Genomic DNA, 24,284 nt, shown 5'->3' on the forward strand with positions numbered 1-24,284 from the left:
AAAAAACCAAAGACAGTGACCTAGCAGTAAAGAACCTATAAGCAAATATATCCAATAAAAGCCAAACAAGTCAGAGAAGACTGAAATAAATATTCTTTCAATGCAAAGACATAGACACATCCACAAGAAACAACGGCTGACAGGAAACCGTGATCTCCCTAAATGGGCAAGGCAAGGGACCAGAAACCGACCCTAATAAGATGGTAACACGTGAGCTCTCTGACCAAGAATTCAAAATAGTAGTTTTAAGGAAACTCACTGATTTCCAAGATAACACAGAAAAGCAATTCAGAAATATATCAGAGAAATTTAACAAAGAGATTGAAATAATTAAAAAAAATCAAACAGAAATATTCAAACTAAGAAATACATTTGCTGAACTAAAACAATTATTAGAGACTCTCAATAGTGAAGTAGATCAAGCAAAGGAAATAATTAGTGAGCTCGAAGATAGACTATTTGGAAATATAGTCAAAAGAGAAAAAAGGAAAAAGGATGAGAATTAATGAAGATCACTTACAGGATATAGAAAATTACCTCAAAAGACAAAATCTAAGAATTATTAGTGTTCAAGAAGGAGTCAAGCAAGAACAAGGGGTAGGGAGCTCATTCAAATAAATAATAACAGAAAACTTTCCAAAAGATGAGAAGGGTCAAATATGCATGTATAGGAAGGGCAGAGAACACCAAACAGATTTTAACAAACAAAACTACCCCAAGGCATATATTATAATCATCAAACTCTCAAAGTCCAAGGACAAAGAGAGAATCCTAAAAGCAGCAACAAAAAAGAAGCAAATGACATTTGAAGGAACCCCAATTCATCTGGCAACAGACTTCTCAGTGGAAACCATATAGGCCAGGAGGGAATGGAACAGCATTTTCAATGTACTGAAAGAAAAAAAATAACTGTTATCCAAGACTACTGTATCAAGCAGTTATCCTTCAAATATGAAGGGTAAATAAATTTTCTCCCAGACAAACAAAAGCAGAGAGAATTCACCACCATCACAGGCATCTTACAAGAAATGCTAAAGGCAGTTTTTCAATGTGAAAGAAAAAAAAAACACTGCGGGTACAAAGCCTGTTGGTACCATTACGTACACAGACAAACCCACAACACTCTAATACTGTAATTGCTGTGTATAATCCACTTATAACACTAGTATGAAGCCCAAAAGACAAAGCTATTAAAAGCAATAATAGCTAGAACAATCTCTTAAGAGATAGGTAATATCAAAACATATAAATAGAGGCAACTAAAAGTCCACTGTAGGGGGGATGGAGTTAAACTGCAGGATTGTTTTTTCATTTTTTCCTTGTTTCTATTCTTGTCTGTGTGATCTGAAATAAGTTGTAATTTCTTTAAAGTAACTTTTTATACCTGTAGCATTTTTTATAAGCCTCATGGCAACCACATGTAAAAACCTATAATAGATTCACTAAGAATAAAGTTCAATTATCACCCTGACCTGGACATATCAATTATTGACTAGAGAACATTTTGTAACCTGAAAGGAGCCAGAAAAGCCAATACTTGTTCTGAATTTCATCCGTAGTCAGGGAAGAACTAGTCCCGCAGGATACAATTAGAGGACAATGGGAGATACGGGTTATGCTGCTTTATGATGATGTCCCATGGGTCATTGTGTGTTCAATGTAACAATGAGGCAAGCATCTGAGAAGTGAAATCACATGATTCTGCTATTCTCATTGCAACACTCACTAGAAGATAAATAGTTTAAGAATATGTTTGTGAGTCAACTAGGGTTTACAGGTGAGGCCAGATTCATAGACTGTTGGAACCAGAAGAACGTGCTGTATCAGCAACTCCAACCTGTCATTTACCCATAGGAAATCTAGGCCCGGAGAGAGATGAGACTTCTCCAAGCTCACACATGCAGAGACATCAAGAAAAACATAAAAGTAAATAGCATCTGCTCACACCAACCATATTTAATTAGGTACCTTCCTTTGCAGAGGCCAAATTTCTTCCTGTTTCCCAGGACTCAGAGAGATAAAAGCAAAATTGTAGGAAAGATTTTGATAGTATCCAAGAAAAGCTATGCAGAGAATCTAAATTTATCCTTCCCTGCTGTCCTCTTGAATTGGAGACACAGCCTCTCTTATGATAAGTATCCTTTTGTTGAATGCGCTAAACCTGTCTGCGAGCACATACCTGCAGATGTATCTGTTTTTTATTATTTGTAGCAGTTACTCTACTTTCCTAAGCTCATGCATTTGACTTATCCAAGGCAGGGTCTCACACAGTGCTTGGAACAGAAGAGGGTTCACCAAATGTTTGCAGACTAACGTAATAACTGGATTCCAGTTGTACTGCCTGTGTGCTTTTCATATACCAACAACCCTGTGTTCAGAGAAAGAAAAAAAGCAACATTTCTACCCATCCTTGAGATTCACCTTCACCTCTTTGCAGATCTATAACTCAGGGCTGCTTAGCGGAGAAGGAGCACCTCCTGTTGACATCTAGCCCCTTGGGTAGACAACACTGTGTCATGTATGCCTGTGTGGCCTTGCTACCCTCCCCAAGGGCCACTTTTCCATCCTGAGCTACTCTGTGGCTAATGGTACAAAAAGGTGCTCAACCCCTAGGCCACTTTCCATCTTGTGATGAGAACGAAACACTAACCCTTGCTGGAAGACATATTTAATATATGGCCCCGTCAAATCCCTGCAATAATAGACACTTTGTTGCACCTTTAATTCACATGGGTAGGTGTCTGAGACTCCCAGGCAGGACCAACATCATCAGTTCTATAGCTCTAGTTTCTTTGGGATGAGTTCCTTAGTTTTGTAGTCCTGCTACTACTCAACAATGACAAATGCCCAGAGTTTCAATGAGAGGAGAGTGCAGAAACTTACTTGTTACATATGATGTGATGTGGTCTCATTGTCTAAATTCTAATAATATAGACCTAAAAGTTATAATGTCAGCTCTTAATAGCTGGAGGGACCACTTCCCTCTGCAGCCTGGGGTGGGGACTGTCCAGGCACCCCTTTGTTCCAGCCAGCTACAAATATTTCCCAGGCACCCAGACAGGCAGCCCATGGGGCTCCAGTGGCAGAACTGCCAGGAGCTACAATGGCTCCCTCCATAGTGGAAGGGCAGAGACACCTGGGACAGGGAGGTGTCCCTGCAGGTGGGGGAAGCAGGACAAGGCCTACCTGATTCCATCCTCCCTTCCTCTTTCTCCTGGACTTTCTCAGAGGCACTGCAGCCCCTGGGGAAGGGCTGGTGGCTGAAGAGGTCATCGCACAGGAGGCTTCGGCACAGCTTGGCGAGGAAGCGGAGGACATAGCCGATGCTGTTCACCACAGGCAGGCTCCGCAGGTGCTGTTTGCCATCAAAGGAAGCCGAGACTGGAAAACCAGAGAGATGTCAGCTTAGAGCCGGGCACTGGAGAAAACCGCAAGTCAATCGGCCGTGGTGAGGATTTTTCGTTTGTTCATTTTTGTTTTGTTGCTAAGCAGACTATATTTGGATTTCACCTGTTTGTTCACAATGTCCTGTTTCTGGTGGGGATCCCACCCAGGACACCACATTACATTTAGTTGTCACGTCTCCTTCGTCTCCTTGGTCTGTGACTGTTTCTCAGTCTTGCCTTGTTTTTCATCACTCTAATAGCTTTGAAGAGTACTGCTCAGGGTAAAATGTCCCTCCGTTTGGATTTGTCTTTTTTTCTCATGATTAGACTAGGGTTATGGGTTCTTTGGGACCACAGAGGTGAAGTACCCTTTCTATCACATCACATCAGGGGATAAAACTGGAGGAGTGCCGTGACCATGGAAAAAGGGATTTCTCTGACTCTGAAGGATCTTGAGTAACAAGACATGCCCTGAGATGGGGTTGAAGCCATGATGTTTCCCCACTGCCCTGCATGGTGGTAAGTGCTATGAAGAAGGAATGGAGCAGAGTAAGGAAGTACAGAGAGGCGGGGTGTGATGGCTCATGCCTGTAATCCCAGCATTTGGGAGGCAGGTGGATCACATGAGCTCAGGAGTTTGAGACCAGCCTGGGTAACATAGTGAGGCATTCATCTCTACAAAAAATTGTAAAAAATTAGCCAGGCTTGGCGGCAAGTTCCTGCAGTCCCAGCCACTTGTGGGGCTGAGGTCGGAAGATCGCTTGAGCCCGGAAGATCGAGGCTGCAGTGAGCCGTGATTGTGCCACTGCACTCTAGCCTAGGCGACAGAGTGAGATCCTGTCTCAAAATAAATAAATAAATAAATAAATAAATAAATAAAAGAATGGAGGGTGACAAGGGCTATATATTAGACAAGAAGTCAGAAAAGGATTCCTGGATAGAGTGGCATTTGAGTAGAACCTAAAGGACATCCATGAGGTCATCTCTGCTAGAACAGAGTGGGGAACAAGAGAGAAGTAACCAAGAAATTAAAGAGGTAGCCAGGGCCAGGTCACACAGGGCCTGTGGGATTTTGTAAGGACTTGGGCTTTTACTTGGAGTGACATGGGAGACATTGGAGGAGGGTTTAGGGCAGAGGAGGGGCATGATCTGACTTAGATTTTTAAAGAACCAGGGAGGTTGCTGTGGGTGGTGAAAGGTGGTTGGACTCCGGGTATATTTTGAAGTGGAGCGAAAGGATTCTGGATATATTTTGAAGTGGAGAAAAAAAAGCAAAAACCGGTGAGTTGGAAGTGGGAAGTGGGAGAAGGAGAAGAGTCAAGATGAGGATCAGAAATCCAGTCTTCTTACCCGGGCATGGAATCATCCTCTCCCTGAGCCCTGAGAGAGGCTTTTAGCTCACAGGCTCATAAAGACCCTAGGAGCCCAGCAGATGAAGGACAGACCCTGGCCACACCTGCTGTCTCCAGGCCTGAGTATGGCTGCTTCCTCTGCAGAGAGACATCCATGGCCTCCTCATGCAACCTGCCCCAGGCCTTACCTGACACCATCTCACCACCATAGCCCTGCTTGACCAGGGAGAAGACCAGCTTCTGCTGGTGGGCGCAGTCGATGCAGGCTTGGACGGCCTGCTGCAGCACCGCCGATGGCCGCTCGGGCCCAAAATGCTCCGGGAGCTGCTGCACCTTCTTCCTCTCCAGATAGGGCCCCGCATTGGCCTGCTTGTTGATGTAGAGGCAGACTGCGGAGACAGAGGTCACAAAGCCCTCGGCATCAGGCGCGCATCAGGCCAGCTGGCGGCCTCTGTGTACACGGGGGATGCCTCAGCCATGCCCCTTTGGCCCTGGCCTTGGGAAAGCTGGCAAGGGCAAAAGTGGGGTGGATTCTTCCCAACTTAAGAAGTAAAAGAGGCAAAAGAGTTAGACACCCCAAGTGCCAGGGCCTGACCTCGGGGGCTTTCTTGGTTGGAAACAGTTGGATAGGTGGGTCCACTCTGATCTACTGAAATCTGAATTAAAGACCATTATGGTGGCCCACATGGACCGTGTGTAAAAAGGTATTTCCATGCTGGGAAAATGTACATACAAAACTTCTTCTCCCTCCTCCAAAGGAGCTGTCAAGCTATAGACAGTTTTTGCCATTTCTTTGTTAACCGTCTACGAACAAAAAAATCAAGATGCCACTATCACTCCAGAGACTATATATTCAACAAAGCTCTACAGACAGTGCTATTTACAATCTCAGAGAAAATAAATATTCAACAACCCGCTTAGGTGAACCCAGTCAATGGTTTCCACACTTTTAAGGTAACAGACCCCATTGATAAAAAATTGGGGGGGCACCTGTCCCAAACCATGTTTATTTATTTATAGGTTATATACATTCTTAACTGTATTAATGTATTGGGTGAATTTTTTACAGGAAAGTATCTAATTTATATAATATAATATTATATAAATGTTATTTACATAATATTATATATATAAACATAAAAATGTTAGAATGTCTACAAAACTGGTTTTCATATATGATAGATTTCAGTAAATCAAGTGGAATCTTTATGAATTTTGCAATTAAAGAGAAAAAGAAATATAAATCCTTTTTTAGCAGGAAGATTTTGTACAGAGAAGACTGCCCAAAGGGTTAGTTATCATCAGTAAAATTAGCTCAGTTAGTTGGGTGAGGGATTCAGACCTAGTTTATACAAGTTCAACTTCATTCTATTCTATGACAATGAATAAATTCCAACCCCCAACTACCTATGCCACCTGTAATTTGGTAACAGTTGCTGAACTGGTCAGCCTGTCTTCAGACTATTTGCTTTAAGATTTTTCATTGTCTCAGACATCAAGCCAGATTCCTTAATAAATGAAGAGTGCCCTGGCCGACCTCTTGAGAAAAAAACTATCCAAAACTTGGAAATAAGACACAAAAGTTATTTCCTTCACTTTCAATGACATGGTACAGCATTGTCTAATAAGCATTGCATACATTGTAAAACATAGCCAAGAAATAGAAATTGTAAAAGGATGAGATAAGATGAATAGGAATAGTAGGTGTTATATTTTCTTCCATACATTAATGACCCCTCTTGTGTATCTGCCTTCTCACTCCCCATCATCCTCCCATAAGCATCTTACCTTAGAGGCCACTGGTGCAAAGGAGTGCTGAAGAGGGACTTTAAGAGGAGACCAGTGGCATTTTGGAAAGGCTAAGTAGTAACAGCAAAGGTGAAGAAATAGGTTTTTTTGTTTTTTTGTTTTTTTGAGCACCTGCTATAGTCTCAAGACAAGCATGTGGGTTTGGTGGTATTATTACTGATTTACTAATGAAGAAACTAAGGCTTAAAGAAGTTAGTAGACTGCTCAAAAACTGTAGCCAGTGATGCAAAGGAATTTGGATCAAGTCTTTTGGAAGACACTCTGGTAGAGTCCAGGTCTCATCCCAGGTGATAAGAAAAATCTAATAAGAGACCTTCATACAGGCACTATGCCATGCCCTACAAAGAAAGCTTGAACAAAATGAAGCAGTCCCTGCCTTCACAGAGCCTACATCCTGGTTGGGGAAGTAAGCCTATTCAGATCATCCCATGAGCTGATGTGAGACCATGTGAAACTGTGGCTGTGAGAAACACAGGGAGGGGCTAAGAGAGCCCATCTGGGGGACCCTGGCAGGAAAGTTCGTGAGGACCTTCTGGGGAGAAGTATGCTTGATCTGAGATATAAGGGAGGAACAGGGTGGCCCGAAGGGATGATCACTCCAGATGGAGGGAGACAATATGCTAAGACCCCATGACCAGTCCTGGGGACTGAGAGAAGAGCAGTGGGGTGACCCACAGGGTGGAGCCTGCAGGGCCTTGTCGGCCAGATTAACAAGTCTGGGCTTCATCTAAAAGCAATGGGAGGGACTGAAGGGATTTAAATGGGATGGGAGAGGGGCTGGGGTTGTGACATAGGATTCTCTGTGTGTGTGCGCGTGTGTGTGTGTGCATGTGCGTGTGTGTGAGAGAGAGATACCATCAGCTTGTCATTACTATTATGATGAAACTGTCAGTTGGTGGATGCCCCACCATAGACAGAGATTGGGATACCTGCTACCCTGACTGGGTTGGAGGGTAGTGGGTCAGACTGAGGGCGAATGGGATCCTTAGGAAATCTGGAAGAGCAAACACAGGAACAAGAGCACTGTTTAAGGTGAGCAGGCTTAGATCAGTGCAATGGATCAGCGCACCCCAGCTCCTAAAAGAAACATCTGGCCACCCTGTGCCCCGCTGTCATCCACCTCCCTCCAACCAAAGCAACCACCTAAACCCAAGCTGCACTGAAAACCAAGTTTTAAATAATCCAAGCTGTGGGACATATAAACTGGTGCTCTCAAAGACTCTGGTCATCCTGTCTGCTGCCTAGCTAGCACACTAAATCGCTCATTTGAGCCATCTCAGCAACAACTCTTTAATCCACAAAGTAACAATTAGATGGTAGCTGCCCTGTTCTCTACAGACCATCACAGCCTTGGAGTTCATTCTGCTGACCTACCTGTGAGAGCCTGTGGGGCCGCCAAGCTGGGGACCGTGGCTGCGTCCTGAGGGATGGAGCTGAGGTCGGGCTCTGGGGTACTCCGCGGAGGTGAGAGGGCTAAGGGAGTCATGAGAACCCGAGACTTGATCTGGAAGAGAGAGCCCATTTGGTCAATGAGAATCTGGCAATTCTCTCTACACTCTTCCAGATTCTGTCCTAGACGGCAGTTAACCATTGCTCTTCTATCATGCTTCCACACCTTTCCATCCTGCAGTTTCGGGGCCTGAGCTGCAGATTCAAGTTCATGCTCAGGATTCATATTTGGGGTCACACTCAGATCACCTCTCATTCCACCCTTTCAGAAGAGCCACCCAGGAAATGACAGTGTCAGGCAGTGAGTGCAGGAGCACACAGAGGTGTGAAGAGTTGGCATCCATGAACGCTTTGAGTGCAGAATGCAGGATAGGAGAGTTTCCAGCCTGCAGCCCATGTGTTCCCTAGAATCCTGTGGACAGGGCTTTCCCTGTATCCACCCAACCAGAGACCAACCCTTCACTGTCTCCCAAGCTCTCTGCTCACAAAAATCACTGGGTCCTGCCGGAAAAGAGAGCAGGAGCCATTCCTCCAAGAGGCTGACATACCACTGTGTTTATTTCCTGCAGCAGATTGACAAAACTAGGCTGGATGTGGACACAAGAGTGGGCAGCAGCCACTTTGATGATTTCACTTGAAACCACAAAGGAGGAGTTAAAATTTGCTCTTATGGAGTAAGGGGAAGATGAATAGTTGATGACTTGTTGATATCCATATTAACAAGTTACTCTTTATATCAAGACTAGTACAGAGACAAGCTTTTAATCTTAGCTCTCTACCCAAAAGTAATGAAGAAAGTCAGTCATGTCCCTGTCTTCACCTCTGACCTATATCTAGACCTCACTCTAGACCGATTAAGTCAGTCTCTGGAAGTGAGACTCACACATCCGGAGTTTTTAAAGATACTGAGATTCTAATACACAGTTAAGGCTGGGGACCCTTGCCCAACACCAAAGCTTTTCAATTTTTGCAATCAACCTTCTAGAGGGTCTTGTTAAAATGCAGATTCTGATTCAGGAGTTCTGGTCTGGGACAGGAGATTCTGCATTTCTATGAGCTCCCAGGTACCACTGATGCTGCTGGTCCATGGACCACACTTCGAGTAGCAAGGTTGTATGTCCTATTGTTAACATGTGTGCAGTCCTCATCTATATCTTCACTTTCGTCCTGGATTTTTAGGATAGAATACTAATAATAGTCATGGAGAAATAGTATTTGAACTGCTAGTTCCCCAGTCATTCTATATTCACTCATTTATTTGTTCAACAAATATATACCAAGAGCCTATTTCATGCCCAACACTCTTCCAGCTGCTACGGAAACAGCAGAAGCAAAGCATACAAAAATCTTTGGCCTCATGGAACTGATATTCTGTTGGGGGGAGACAGACAATAAACAGAATAAATGGGTAAATGATATAGTAGATTACATGTTAATAAAAGCTGATGATGAAAATAAGGAGGGAAGGGGCATGAGAAGTGCAATTGAGTTGTACTTTAGGCTGACATTTTTAAATAAGGAGGTTGAGGCATTTCTTGGGTGAAATTGTACCCAAGATTTGAAGGAGGTGAGGGAGCAAGTCATACAGTGTGTAGGGAAAGAATATTCCAGGCAATGTCGATATCAAGCCCCAAGGTTCTGAGGCAGGAGTATGCCTGGAGGGTTTGTGCAACTGTAGGGAGGCCAGAGTGAGACAGGAGAGGTAATAAAGCCAGGTTGGGCAGGGCTTTGCAGGACACTGTCAGGCTTTTAGCTATTACTCTTGAACTCTTTTGAGCAGAGAAACAATAGGATTTAAACTAACATTTTAACAATCTTTCTTTCTTTCTTTCTTTCTTTCTTTCTTTCTTTCTTTCTTTCTTTCTTTCTTTCTTTCTTTCTTTCTTTCTTTTTTGAGAGGGAGTTTCGCTCTTGTTGCCCAGGCTGGAGTGCAATGGCACCATCTCAGCTCACTGCAACCTCCGCCTCCCAGGTTCAAATGATTCTCCTGCCTCAGCCTCCCGAGTAGCTGGGATTACAGGTGCCCGCCACCACGCCTAGCTAATTTTTGTATTTTTAGTAGAGACAGGCTTTCACCATGTTGGCCAGGCTGATCTCAAACTCTTGACCTCATGATCTGCCTGCCCTGGCCCCCAAAGTGCTGGGATTACAGGCGTGAGCCACTGTGCCCGACCAACAGTCTTTCTGACTATGGTATTGAGAAAAGACTGAAAGAAGCAAAAGTGGGAGGACCACTAACCTACAGTAGCTGAGAGATGACAGTAGGGTGGATTGTGGTGATGATAGCAGTGGCGGTGATGAGAAGTAGACAGATCCTGGACATGTTTTGAAGGTGGAACCAACAAAATTTACCAACACATTGAATGTGGTATATGAGAGAAAGAAGGAAGTCAAAGATGACTTCAAGCATTGACACCAGGAGGGCTCTAGGTGGAGTAGTTTTTTTGTTGTTGTTGTTTATTTTGAAGGGAAGGAGGATAGAGTGGAGGGGGCTAGAGAAGATCAGGGGTGAGTTTTGGACATGTCGAGTTTAAGATACTTGCTAGACATCCAAGTGGAGATATTACTAGGCAGTTGCATCTAGTAGAGTATATGGTTCTGGGGGAGAGCCTATATGAAGATGTACATTTGGGAATCATGAATATAGAGTTGGTATGTCAGACCATAATAATGGAAGATATCATCAGAGAAGTGAATGTAGATGGAGAAGAGAAGGATCCAAACACTGAGCCCTGCAAGATTCCAACACGAAGAGCCTGGAGAAATGAGAAAGGAGCAAGCAAAAGAAATCAGGTAAGAGCACCCAATGGGGTAGAAAGAAAACTGGGAGAGGGTGGGAGTGTGGGAGTGAATGGAAAGGTTCTTTCAAGGAGGAGATAGTGGTTAACCATGCTAAGTGCTCTGATTAGACAAGTAAGACTAGGAGTGGCCATTAGATTTAGCAGTTTATCAACAAGAAAGGTGGTGGCACAGTGGGTTGAATTGGGATAAGAATAAATCTTTGCCCTCGTGGAACTGACATTCTAATGGCCAGCGGGGGTGGGGAGACAATAAATGAATAAATAAGTATATGATATAGTATGTTAGAAGGTGATAAGAGCCAATGGTGAAAATAAAGAAGCAAAGGGCATGGGAAATGCAATTGAGGAGTTATACTTTGAGTTGAGATTTTAAAATAGGGTAGCTCCTGATTGGAAAAATGGAAAGAGAGGCATTAGGATCAGTAAGTAAAGTCAACTCCTCTTTCAAGGAGTTTTGTCAAAAAAGGGAGCAGAGAACTAGCCATAGCAAAGGAACAAAGTGGGATTAAAATATTTTTTTGCCCCACAATGCGATACCACCTTTCTGGTAGCTGTTAAGATAGATACTATTAAAAAATACAAAACAAAAAATAACAAAATGAAAACCCCCCAGAAAATAGTAAATGTTGGCAAGGATGTGGAGAAACTGGAACCCTTGAGCACTATTGGTGGAAATGTAAAATAGTGCTGCCACTATGGAAAAGAGTATGGCAGTTTTTAAAAAAAATTAGAAATAAAATTACCATATGACCCAGCAATTCCATTTCTGAGTATGTAGCCCCCAAAATTGAAAATAGAGTCTCCAAGAGATATTTCACATCCACGTTCACGGCAACACTATTTACAATAGCCAAAAGTCAAATGCATAGAGACAGGAAGTAGAATGGTAGTTGCCAGGAACTGGGGGAAGGTGGGAATGGGGAGTTATTGCTTAGTGGGTAGAGAGTTTGAATTTCGCAAGATGAAAATGTTCTGGAGATTGGTTGCATGACAATGTGAATATACTTAACACTATTGAGTTTTATGGCAAACTCAATAACGGTAAATTTTAGAAATAATGGTAAATTTTGTGTGTTTTTTAGCAAAATTTAAAAAATTAATTTTAAGGATTCTTTGTTTTTTGTTTTTGAGATGGGAGAAAAAATAGTGTTTTAATGCTGATTAAAATAATCCAGTAGAGAGAGAAAAATTGATTGTACAGAAGAGTGTGTGGAGAACTGCTCACATGAAAGGGCTTTGAGTAGGTGAGAGGGTAGGAGATTTAGTGCATGAGGGAGGCCGTGGCCTAAGAGGACGCACATACTTTCCATCTATTGCAACAGGAAGGAAGACAGAATACAAAGGTTTGAATGCTGGGGTGGGTGGATGTGGAGGTGGGAGCTTGCAGAAGGTCTCTTCCCATGGCTTCCAATTTCCCCAAGATATGGAAGCTGAGTGGGAGGACAGAGGAGGTGGGTGTGGTCATGAACTGGGAGAGTAGGAGGCCTGGGGAATGGAGCACGGCTGCTGAGCAGCACTGAGGGGGCACTGGGATGTGCAGAAATGAATGTGAAATGAGATCAGTCAACAGCAAGCACATTGGCTGCACAGTGCTAAATGGGTGCTGAATTTGAGGCTCTCAAGGGAACCTCTATATTAATCAGAAACTATAATTAACAATAGAGATTTCGTCTTATTCTGAGTGTCACATTTCAAAATTAAAGGACATATCCTGTAGGAATACACTGCTAAATATTATAAACATAATTTAAAAGAAACCTCAGTCATGGGAATGGGAGATCATAAACCTGTTTTGACTCAGTGACTCTGACTTTGGTGTGACTTCCTCATCTGCCAAGTGTCATGAGGGTGGCGGCTGCCATGCCTATTTATGGAGGCCATGCACCAAGGGTCCCCTAACTGCCTTTCTAGGAATGATATCCCACTTTCCATGTCTTGTGATGGAGAGGCTGGTGGTGACAGAGTCCCTGAGGACTTCAGGCAGTGACTTCTGGGATAACCCTGGCTAAATCCTCCTTCACAAGCTTAAAGCCCTTAACTGCCAACACAGAGATAATAATGCTCACTGGGGAAAAATGGAATTGGCAAATTATTTTTTCCTCTTGTCTTTAAGCAAATCACACAAAGATACTTGTGATTCTTCCCTAGAAAAATGACGATGATGATGATGACTAAAACGTAAATATCCAGACACTGTTTACTGTTCATATAGACCTCCTAATGACTTTAACATCTAATGTTTCCTCACCATTTTAATATTTATTAGAGGTCAGGTGTATTGGCTCACACCTGTAATCCCAGCACTTTGGGAGGCCAAGACGGCAGGATTGCTTGAGCTCTGGAGACCAGGCTGGACAACATAGTGATATCTCTTTTGTACTAAAAATTTTAAAAATTAGCCAGGCGTGGTGGCATATGCCTGTTGTTCCAGCTACTCAGGAGGCTGAGGCAGGAGGATTGCTTGAACCCAGGAGATCGAGGCTGCAGTGACCTATGATCACACCACTACACTCCAGCCTGGGCAACAGAGACAGACCCTGTCTCAAAAAAAAAAAAAATTACTAGAGAGGAATCTGTTCACTGAACCCACCTCAAATGAAGTAATGGAATTATAATTGGCTGTTACTTCTGTCCATTTCTGCCCAACTGAAATTACAGGGATTAGATTAAATTGCCTGATTGCAAGGAAACCTCCTGTATTTATCCAGTCTCTAAAACAACTGCTAGAACTTTTGAATGAAAGAAAAAGTCACGAGCAACTATGGGTAGTATATGGCTTTTTAAAAATATCCTTCGCTAGATAAAAAATCACGAGTAGAAATACCCTTTTGACTTAGCATTCAGAAATTTCAATCTCATTGCTTAATATAAAGAATAAAAAGTAGCCTAGTGTAGAAAAGGGAGTCACCCATGATTTTGGAAAAGTCCTAAAAAAGAAGAGCACGGATATGAGCCCACTGGCTAGAAGCTTTGCTCTAGTGTGATGCAGGGCCCAGTCCATCAGCACAAACCTCTCTCCAGTGGAATGGGGGGGTTCTCTGCCTGTCGCAACCTATCCAAGCTGTTCTCTGGCAGGGCATTTGTCTTTGTTGTTGCCTTAGGTTTCTAAAAAAAAAAAAAAAGCTGTCTATTTTGTTTTTTAAATGGACAAAATAAAACACAGTTCTGATATAGTGGTTTCTAACACCATTCTTCAATGTAAGGAAAAAAAACTCCTTGCAGACATGGCTGATTTTAGGATTAGGGTAGGGATTACACACTGGGAGCCTAGAGCATCTTGTAATGCCAGAAAGTAAGACAACACTAAGGAAACAAAACACACACAATGGTGGGGACTGGTTACAGGGACACAGGTGCCAACTGAAAGAGCTCCCAGTGGCCAAATTCGGACCAAGAGGAACAACAAATAAATAATGTAGTAATGGATTATAACTCAAAGTATGAAATAAATATTCATGAATCCACACTGACATAAATAGGTGGTTGACTCAGTAAATAAAAGGGAAAGAACAAACAACTCTCCCATGCATAAAAATTTCAAATAATTTATGTAGACACCCCTCCCTCAAGTAGGTGAAGTGCAATTCCCTACTCCTTACGGATGGGCTGTGCACAGTGAGTACTTCCAAAGAGTACAGTAAGGAAATGAAGGGGAAATATAACTTTACAATGGAGAAACCTGATAAATAAGACTTCAACCATAGGATCAAGGTCAACATCATCAGTGATAAGTCATGTCACTAGCATGTACTCTCACCATATGATGAAAATGCCACGTCACCTCTGGGATCTTCTTCCCCAAGCCCCCTAACCCTAGTCTAATCATGAGAAAAACATTAGACAAACTGAAATTGCAGAACACTTTACAAAATACCCAACCAGTACTCCTCAAAACTGCCAAAGTCATCACAAAAGGAAATTCTGAGCAACTTTCCCAGCCCAGAGGAGCTTAAGGAAACATGACAACTAAATGTTATGTAGTATCTTGGATGGGATCCTGGAATAGAATAGAATAGGGAAAAGCTAATTAAATCGGAATAAAATATTGACTTTATTTAATAATGAAGTATTATGATGGGTTCACTAGTTGAGACAAACATACCACAGTAATATGAGATGTTAAAAATGGGGGGAAATCAGGTGCGGGGTACGTGAGAATTCTCTGTTTTATCTCTGCAATACTTCTGTAAACTGAAAACTATTCTAAAATAGTGTTTGTTTTCAAAATATTAAAAACAGGATGTGGCAGAATAAACTGGGTAAATGGAGAGGAGGAGAGAAGAGAGGCCTCTTCCTGGCAGCACAGAACTGGAAGCAGCTTGCTGTGCAGGACGCCATGCTCTGACATACAGGAGCTAATCCTGGGCCTTCAAAGCCAACATCCCTGCCCAAATGCTAGTGCAGTTGCCACCTTTACCTGAGATTCAAAACCTCAACCCAGCAGGTGTGGCGACCCCTCATCCAAGGCAAGGTCTGTGCTTTGCCTCATTAGAGAATACTGCTGGGACAAAGCGGTAGGGCAAAGTGTCCCTACCAGCTGGAGTCTCCACCAGGGGGGCTGGGGAATCTGGAATCAGCTCATCTTTCTTTTCCATTTATAGAACCAAAATATGGGCCTGGGGAATTTCTGGCTCCAGCTGTCATTTAGGGGAGGACCTTGTCTAAGACATTTGCTAGAACATCACTGGAAAGAATTGGGAGGGGATTTGGGGGGAAACGGAGATGTGCGGTCAAGAGCACACTAAAGGGGAGAGGATCGGTTGATATAAAACTCAAGGATTTTTCTAGAAACATCTGGCTTTGGCAGTAACAGAAATGCCAACTAAACATTGTTTGACAGACTGGTAGCAAGAGGTGGATAATCTGAGGATGGAGAGTGTGGCTGGGGAAGGATGAGGATGTATAGAGGCTGCTGGCACATCCGCAGAGGGTAAGCCAACAAAGCAAGATTTTAAAATGTGTTTAGGGCAGCAGTGGGCACATGCAAAGGAATACCAGCTTTGGATCTGGATTGAATGTCCAGCGTGGCCACTCGCTGATTCTGAAGCTTAGTACTTAGGCCCTCAGAGCCTGCCTTTCCTCATCTGTAAAGATAATAGCCCTCACACAGGGATGTAGTTAGAATTAAATGCAGAAGTTTAGCATAATGCAAAGTGAGAACTCAATAAAAGTTAATTGTCATTATTGGTGTTAGTATTATTATTGTTACTTTTAGAAATTCCAAAAATGCAAATAAGTCCCAAGTTTCTTGTTCATGAAGTGATGGCAGGAGGAGGAAACTGCCCATCTTTCCTGGAACCCATCTACATTTTCCATGCTTATCTCTTGGGATCACATCTTCAGAAATCTCTGCAAATCGACCCTTTTTCCTCACACCTCGCAGATGATCCCCTCTGTGAAACATGCTTCCAATCCATCTTGAAATGGTTCCTAAGTGTTGCTTATGTAATACCTATCCTTTCCAAGTGGCATCATTTAAGCCAAATCTAAAAAGGAAAAAAAATCATTCATTCAATCAGACAGACATTTATTCAACAAAAACTTCTTGAGCACCTACTATGTGCCAGGAACTGTTCTAGGTGCTGAAGATTCAGCTGTGAATGGGGAAGATAAACTTCTTGTTCTCAATGCAAGCAACTAGGTGACCAGGGTAGGCCTATAAAGGGGTAACATTGAAGTCAGGATGTGAGTGGCTAGAGGTAGCCTGTTGTGACTGGAGAAAGCTTTCCAGGCAGACAGAACAGCTTGTGCAAACATTCTAAAGCTTGGCTTCTTCAAGAAACCAGAGTGGTTGGAACTGTGGGCAAGAGTCAGAATGGTGCAAGAAGAGGTCAAGTTAGGTGGTTAGGTTGAGATAATGGCAGTTTTCTAACTTAGCGTTATGCATTGAATTGTGTCTCTCTAAAAAGACATAGGTTCAAGTTCTAATCCCCTGTACCTGCAAATATTGGCTTTATTTAGACATAGGGTCTTTGCAGAGGTAATTAAGTTAAAATGAGTGCATACTGCATTAGGGTTGGTCTTAACCCAATGACTGGTGTGCTTATAAGATGAAAAAAACTTGATACAGGCACAGACACCTGTTTAGAGAGAATGCTATGTGACGACAGAGGCAGAGATTGGAGTAATGTGTTGATAGCCAAGAAACAGCCGGCAACCACCAGAAGCTAGGAAGAGGCAAGAAAGGACCCTCCCCTGGAGTCTTCAGAAAGAGAGCATGGCCCTGCTGACACCCTGATTTCAGTCTTCTAGCCTCCAGAAAGGATGTTTTAGCCACCCAGTTGGTAGTTCTTTGTTACAGCAGCCCTAAGGAAACAAATACAGTCAGGATAACAAGCTTGGATTTTATTCTATGAGTGATGGAAATAATTACAGGATTTTAAGCGGGGAAACACACAAGCTAGTTTTCATTTTATAAAAATAAATATGGTGCTAGGCCCAGTGGCTCACATCAGAATCTCTGAGTGCTGTTATCCCAGCACTTTAGGAGACTGAAGCAAGAGGGTCACTTGAGCTCATGAGTTCAAGACCTGTCTGGACAAAATGGCAAAACTCCATCTCTACAAAAAATACAAAAAAAAAAAAAAAAAAAAAACCTGAAACAAAACAAAACAAAAAAAAACTGGCTGGGTGTGGTGGCATGCACCTTAGTCCCAGCTACTTAGGAGGCTGAGGTAGGAAGACGGCTTGAGCCTGGGAGGCGGAGGTTGCAGTAAGCCGAGATTGCGCCACTGCACTCCAATCTGGGAGACAGAGCCAGACCCTGTCTCAAAATACATACATACATACATACATACATACATACATAAGGCTGCTGTTAGGCAGAATGGATGGGGAAGTGGAGGCAAAGTGCAGAAAAGAACACTACTAAGGAGGTATCACGTGGTCTAGCTGAGAGACACTGGTGGCTAAACTAGGGTGGAAGTAGGGAGGTGGAAAGAATTGATTGGATTCAGGGTGTACTTTGAGATGGAACTGAAGTGACGGGTGAGAGAAAGCACAAAATCTAGGACAATATCTACATCTATTCACAAAATCTTTGCTTTAATAGTACATTTTTATTATGTTAGTTATAAAACACTAGCATGTATTTACTTACTGCTGATTTGGTTAACTAACTAGACTTATTATTGGGCAATAATACTGGCTTTGTCTCTAAGTTTCAAAACATTCCTTCTGTAATACTAAAGTAATAAACCTTCAGAATGAGACAGCAAAAGTTCTGTGCAGAACTTTGGGAGAGGGCATGAAGAAAAGGAAATAATCCATATTTCCTCATCGGGGAAATGGACATAATTTCAGTCAACTACGCATTGCCACTGCACTGCAGGGCAGTGGCAAGAATACAGGTCTTAGAGATAACAAATGACACGCTAGTCCTGGTTCTACTGCCAACTCGCACGGGACTCTGAGCAACTCACTCAGCTCCTCTAAGCTTCATCTTCCAAAGCCTTTAAATGGGTTACAGTTGTTGGTTTCTAAGCTCTTCCCAACTCATAATGTTGTGTGTGTAACTTTCATTAGATTATTTTTGAACACATTAAAGAATTTGAGTCAAAACCAGTGTTAGCACCATATTTGGAATGTTAATTAGAAGAAATGTAGCATTCTAAATTATTTGAAGTCCTGTTTCTGGTAAGATGGAAAACTGGTTATTAGGATCAGTCAATTGAAACTACTACAAATAATGAATAAATGCAAAAATGATTAAAAGTATGGAGGAATTGACATATATAAAGAATAACCAGGCCAACATATAGGTGTAATCTGGGCCATGGGCATTGCTATGAAGCCCAGGGCTTACCCTAAGAGCTACAATAAAGGCACTCCAGCTGTAGACTTGTCCCATCTTCTCCCACCCCTACCTGGCTACAAGAAAAGTTGCCTTGACACTGAGGGAGGGGATTTGCAGAATCTCTGAGAAGATATTACCAGAAGCCGGACCTCACATATATTTGCATCCCAAATTCACAGAACTTGGGTGATCAAGAAAACCTCAGGCTATGAATTTAATTAAAAAATTACTCAATATGACAGTGTCTCAGGTGACTGGAAAGGCAAAAGAAAACACATCATCTCTGGAGAAAGGTTTCAAAGAAGTCTCAAAAATAATTTTTCAAGGTTGATGAATAACAGTCCAAAATACTCAAGCACACAAGGAAGCAAATAACTAAAGAAAGAATAAGCAATAAAAACACACAGCAATGAAGCCCCCCAAATATTAAGATATTTCAATTATCGAACTTAGATTATAAAAACAACTATGATACTATGTATAAAGATATAAAGGACAAGCTTGAAAATATATCTGGGGAACAAAAAATGATTTAAAAAACACAGTAAATTTGAAAAAGAAGCAAATTGAATTTTTATAAGTGGGAAACACAGTAACTAAAATTAAGAAGTAAATGGATAGACTTAACAGCATTGTAAACATAGCTAAATAGAAAATTAATGAGCTCGAAGATATGTCAGAAGAAATTACCCAGAAAGCAGCACAGAAACCAATAGATTAAAACTATGGAAAAGAGGTTAAAAGAAATGGAGAATATGAGAAGTTTGAAACATAAGAGTTTCAGAAGAAAAGAATATGGAGAATGGAAAGGAGATTATATTTGAAGAGATAATAGCAGAGAATTTTCCAGAACTGATGAAAGATTTCAACTTACAGATTCAGGAAGCTCAGCAAATCCTAAATAGGATGAATAAAATATAAATCCACACGTCAACACAATGAAGTGAAATTATAAAACGCCAAAGACATAGAGAAAAATCTTAAAATTAAAAATACAGATTACTTTCCAAGAAACACCCTAATAAGCTAGAAAAGTAGTTGAATTCTCTGCAACAATGAACCCCAGAATATAAATATAATATCTTTGGTTTTTTTTTTTTTAGACAGAGTCTTGCTCTGTCACCCGTGCTGGAGTGCAATGGCGCAATCTCGGCTTACTGCAACCACTGCTTCCTGGGTTCAAGTGATTCTCCTGCCTCAGCCTCCCAAGTAGCTTGGATTACAGGCAGGCGCTACCATGCCAAGCGAATTTTCATATTTTTAGTAGAAATGGGGTTGCATCATGTTGGCCAGGCTGGTCTCAAACTCCTGACCTCAAGTGATCTGCCCGCCTTGGCCTCCCAAAGTGCTAGGATTACAGGCATGAGCCACTATACCCGGCAAAATATAATATCGTCTATGTGCTTCAAGGGAATAACTGACAATCTAGACTTCTACACCCAGAAAAAAAAGTCTTTTTTTTTTTCAAAAGTGAAGGTAAAATAAAGATACTTCTAAACAACAAAAACTGAGAGTTTATCACTACAGGGCCTATATTAGAGGAGCTTCTTTTCATTTTACTTCAGGCAAAATGACAAGGAACCCAGGTGGAAGGTCTGATATACAAAAATGAAGAATTTTTTAGAGGTGGTAAATAATCAGGTGAATTTAAATGAAAATGACTGTATCAAACAATAATAATGATGACTGGAGGGGCTAAAAAAGAAAAAATTAAAATGCATGGCAACAATAATATATAAGTGTGGGGGACAGAATATAAATGGAATTAAAGTGTACTAAAGTCCTTGTATTATTTAGGAAGAAGCAAAAGTATGGTTAACTTTAGACAACTCTAATAAGTAAGCATGCTGTAATTTTTAGAGTAGCCATTAATACAACAGAAAACAGAACGCTTGACTTCCAATGAATGGGAAAGAAAAAATTAAATAATAAAAAATAACTCAAAAGGAAGGCAGAAAAGACAGGTAAAAGGAATATATAGAATACAAAAAATCAGTATAGATTTAAGCCCAAATTTATTAGTAATTTTTAAAAATACGATTGGACTAAACACCTAATTAAAAGACAAAGATTGTCATATTAGATGTTATGGGTTGAAATGTGTCCCTCAAACACATATTGAAATCTCAACTCTCAGTACCTGTGAATGTGACCTTATTTGAAAATACAGTCTTTGCAGATGGTTGAGTTAAGATGAGGTCATAAGTCTGGGTCTTAATCCAATGTGGCTGGTATCCTTATACAAAATGGAAATATGGACGGAGAGGCAGACACACACAGATGGAAGATGATGGGAAGACATGGGGAGTAAGCTGTCTACAAGCCAAGGAAAGCCTGACACTATCAGAAGCTGGGAGAGAGACATGGAACAGATTCTTCCTTACAGGCTCAGAAAGAACCAACACTACCTACACCTTGATCATGAACTTGTGGCTTCCAAAACTCTGAGACAATAAATTTCTGTTGTTTGTTATCTAGTTTGTTGTGTTTTGTTATATCAGCCCTAGAAAATAAATGCACTCTTTTTTTTTTTTTTTTTTTTTTTTTGTTCAAGGTCTCACTCTGTCACTCAAGCTATAGTGCAGTGACACAATCATGACTTACTTCAGCTTTGAGTTCCTGGGCTCAAGCAATCCTTCCACCTCAGTCTCCCAAGTAGCTAGGACTACAGGTGTGCACCATCACAGTTGGCTAATTCATTTATTTTTTGTAGAAGCAGGGTAGTGCTATGTTGCCCAGGCTGGTCTCGAACTCTTAGGCTCAGGTGATCCTGCTGCCTAGCCTCCCAAAGTGCTGGAATTACAAGCATGAGCCACAATGCCCAGCCTAGATTTTTGTTTTTTTAATTATGTTCTCCTTCCTTTTCTTCCTTTCTGTTATGGACTGAATGTTTGTGTACCCTCCAAAATTCATACACTGAAGTACTAACACCCAATGTGAAGGTAGTTGGAGGTGGAGCCTTTGGGAGGTACTTAGGTTTACATGAGGTCATGACGGTATGCCCCATGAAGAGATTCATGTTCTTGTTTTTTTTTTTTTTGTATGTTTTTGAGACAGAGCCTCGCTCTGTCATCCAGGTTGGAGTGCAGTGGCACCATCCCGGCTCACTGCAACCTCCATCTCCCAGGTTCAAGCGATTCTCCTGCCTCAGCCTCCCAAGTAGCTGGGATTATGGGCACCCGCCACCACACCCAGCTAATTTTTGTGTTTTTAGTAGAGACAGGGTTTCACCACATTGGCTAGGCTAGTCTCAAACTCCTGACCTCAAGTGATCTGCCTGCCTCTGCCTCCCAAAATGCCGGGGCTACAGGTGTGAGCCACTGCGCCTGGCCGGGATTAGTGTTCTTAAAAGAAGAGGAAGAGAGGCCAGAGCTTGCTCGCTGTCTCCACCATGTGAGGACACAGTAAGAAGGCAGCCATTGCCAAGACAGCCCTCACAGAACTGAATCCTGCTGCACCTTGATCTTGGACTTTAAATCCTCCAGAACGATGACAAAATTAATTTCCATATTGAAGCCACCCAGGCTATGGTATTTTGGTATGGCAGCCCGAGCTAAGACACCTCCCCACCTCTATTTAAGGAAGACTAGCTTTGTCCATGTCCCTGCCCATAGTTTTCCTTGTGGACACATTTCTCCTTGGAATTCACATTCTTTCTTCATACAAAACTCCCTTGGGGTTCTGAGGAGATGCTCCAGGGGAACAAAGTTAGAAGACATTGAATAACTCACCATGTTTAACCACAGACTTTAGTCTAAAAACTTGCCTGCTGGAAATGCAAATTGGTTCCAATAACAAGAAGCTTGTGGCCAGTGATCTAATTCCATTCCTAGGAGTCAGCCTGTAACTGGGTCTACTCGTACATTTTTCCTTCTGCACTTGGGGGAGATGTTAAACACCCAAGAGATGGAAGGGCTGGTACCTTTTGGCCTTGAGGCCTGCTTTGGTCAAATCTGGGATTCTAATTAAATAATCATTGCACTAACACTTTCTTAGGAAAGTAAAATTACCCAAATAAAATAGATTGCCTTCATCACAGTGAAAGCAGAAGGGGATGCTTGGAGGTGGGAGTGGAATGGCCCACCCTTTCTTGTGCCTTTCAGAGATGCAAATGATGTGGGACAGGATTCGGATCCTATGGGTTCAGATGCTGGTCTGTATCCAGAGAGGGGCTGAGACTGGTGATGAGGTGGGGAGGGCTCCTGCTCTGCCTGAGGTGGGAAGGAATGGTTTCATTTCCTCCTCACCGAAGGAACCCAAGAGAGGAGACAATGAAGCCAGTATTCCATGGGTACCAGGAGAGAGAAGGAAGAAAAAGAAAAACAAAAAAGTTCTATCTGATATGGTTTCACTGTGTCCCCACCCAAATCTCATCTTGAATTGTAGCTCCCATAATTCCCACGTGTTGTGGGAGGGACCCGGTGGGAGGTAACTGAATCATGGGGGTAATTTCCCCCATACTGTTCTTGTGGTAGTGAATAAGTCTCACCAGATCTGATGGTTTTACAACGGGAAACCCCTTTCGCTTGACTCTCGTTCTCTCTTATCTGCCACCATATAAGACATACTTTTCGCTTTCCACCATGACTGTGAGGCCTCCCTGGCCATGTGGAACTGTGAGTCCATTAAACCTCTTTTTCTTTATAAATTACCCAGTTTCAGGTATCTCTTTATCAGCAGGGTGAAAACAGACTAATACACTATCCTTAAATAAAGTAGGATTCAGAAAAACATCTATCCATGACAGTCATTTAACAGAAGCTGTCCACTATGGCCTGCAACACCAACAATCTTTAGCAGAAACCATACATGTCAAGAACTGCTTGGTGTGATTGGGTGTCTTACAGAAACTGGTGAGGGGGTCAAGTTCTGTGCATCAGTGGCAATGGGATCAAAACTGTCAGCCCAGCTGATGAGAATGGGGACATGGACCATCCGGGTACAGGCATCCTGAGCTCAGCAGAACTCTGATCCCCCAGGGGCTGGAGCCGGCTTGTACTAGTCCATGAGAGAGGATTGTTACATCTTCAGGAGTATTGCAAGTGGATTGTTAAACACAGCCCTTATTAAAAATTATGAGGCAGAGGTTGCAGTGAGCTGAGATTGCGCCATTGCACTCCAGCCTGGGCAACAGAGTGAGACTCTGTGTCAAAAAAATTTTAAAAATAAAAATTACAGTATATACACTTACAAGTTAATAAAGTTTGTAGGGAGTCTCTGAACCTACTCTGGCTCAGGAGGCTGCCCCATTCACAAGTCGTTTTTTACTTAGTGAAACCAAACAAACAAACAAATAAATAAAAAGTTTATTAAAAACAAAAGTAATAAATACTGACAACTCATCACTTGCTAATTTTACGACTCCATCTGTATTTCCAAGGGTTTGCTGCTGTACATCTTTTCCCAAATCCATATTCAGGGATGTGAATTCATTGGTGGCTCAATATTGGCCATGAAGGGAATATTTACACCTTAGAATCTGGGAAATGCTGTGAATTAGAGCTGTGTTGATTTATAGATTTTAAAAAATGATGGAGAAAATACTAAAAATGCAGATTAAACTTAAAAGCATGTCATGTCTATAGCTGTTACAATGTGAATAGCACAAAATACTTAAATTCTTTTTTGTCTTCAAAAACTATTATCCAATCCAGGCATGGTGGCACATGCCTGTAGTCCCAGCTGTTTGGGA

At 42.0% G+C, this 24,284-nt stretch overlaps 1 protein-coding gene across 9 annotated transcripts in view; it reads right to left on the minus strand.

Annotated features, from left to right (window-relative positions):
- The window catches only part of SCML4 (Scm polycomb group protein like 4), a 143,885-nt gene that overhangs the window by 39,609 nt on the left and 79,992 nt on the right, over positions 1–24,284 (minus strand). For 4 of the 9 annotated variants that reach the window (XM_011535706.2, NM_001286408.2, NM_198081.5 and 1 more), the window contains 3 exons: positions 7,922–8,051; positions 4,927–5,127; positions 3,187–3,381 (listed from right to left, as the gene is read on the minus strand). In XM_011535706.2, the coding sequence (XP_011534008.1) occupies positions 3,187–3,381; positions 4,927–5,127; positions 7,922–8,033 (508 nt within the window). In that variant the 5' untranslated portion in view covers positions 8,034–8,051. Of the gene's footprint in view, positions 1–3,186; positions 3,382–4,926; positions 5,128–7,476; positions 7,542–7,921; positions 8,052–13,808; positions 13,903–24,284 lie in introns of all 9 variants that reach the window. The other 5 variants (XM_047418598.1, XM_047418596.1, XM_047418595.1 and 2 more) reach the window with 2 other exon arrangements.

Source organism: Homo sapiens, chromosome 6 (genome assembly GCF_000001405.40).
Source record: "Homo sapiens chromosome 6, GRCh38.p14 Primary Assembly".
NCBI lineage: Eukaryota > Metazoa > Chordata > Mammalia > Primates > Hominidae > Homo > Homo sapiens.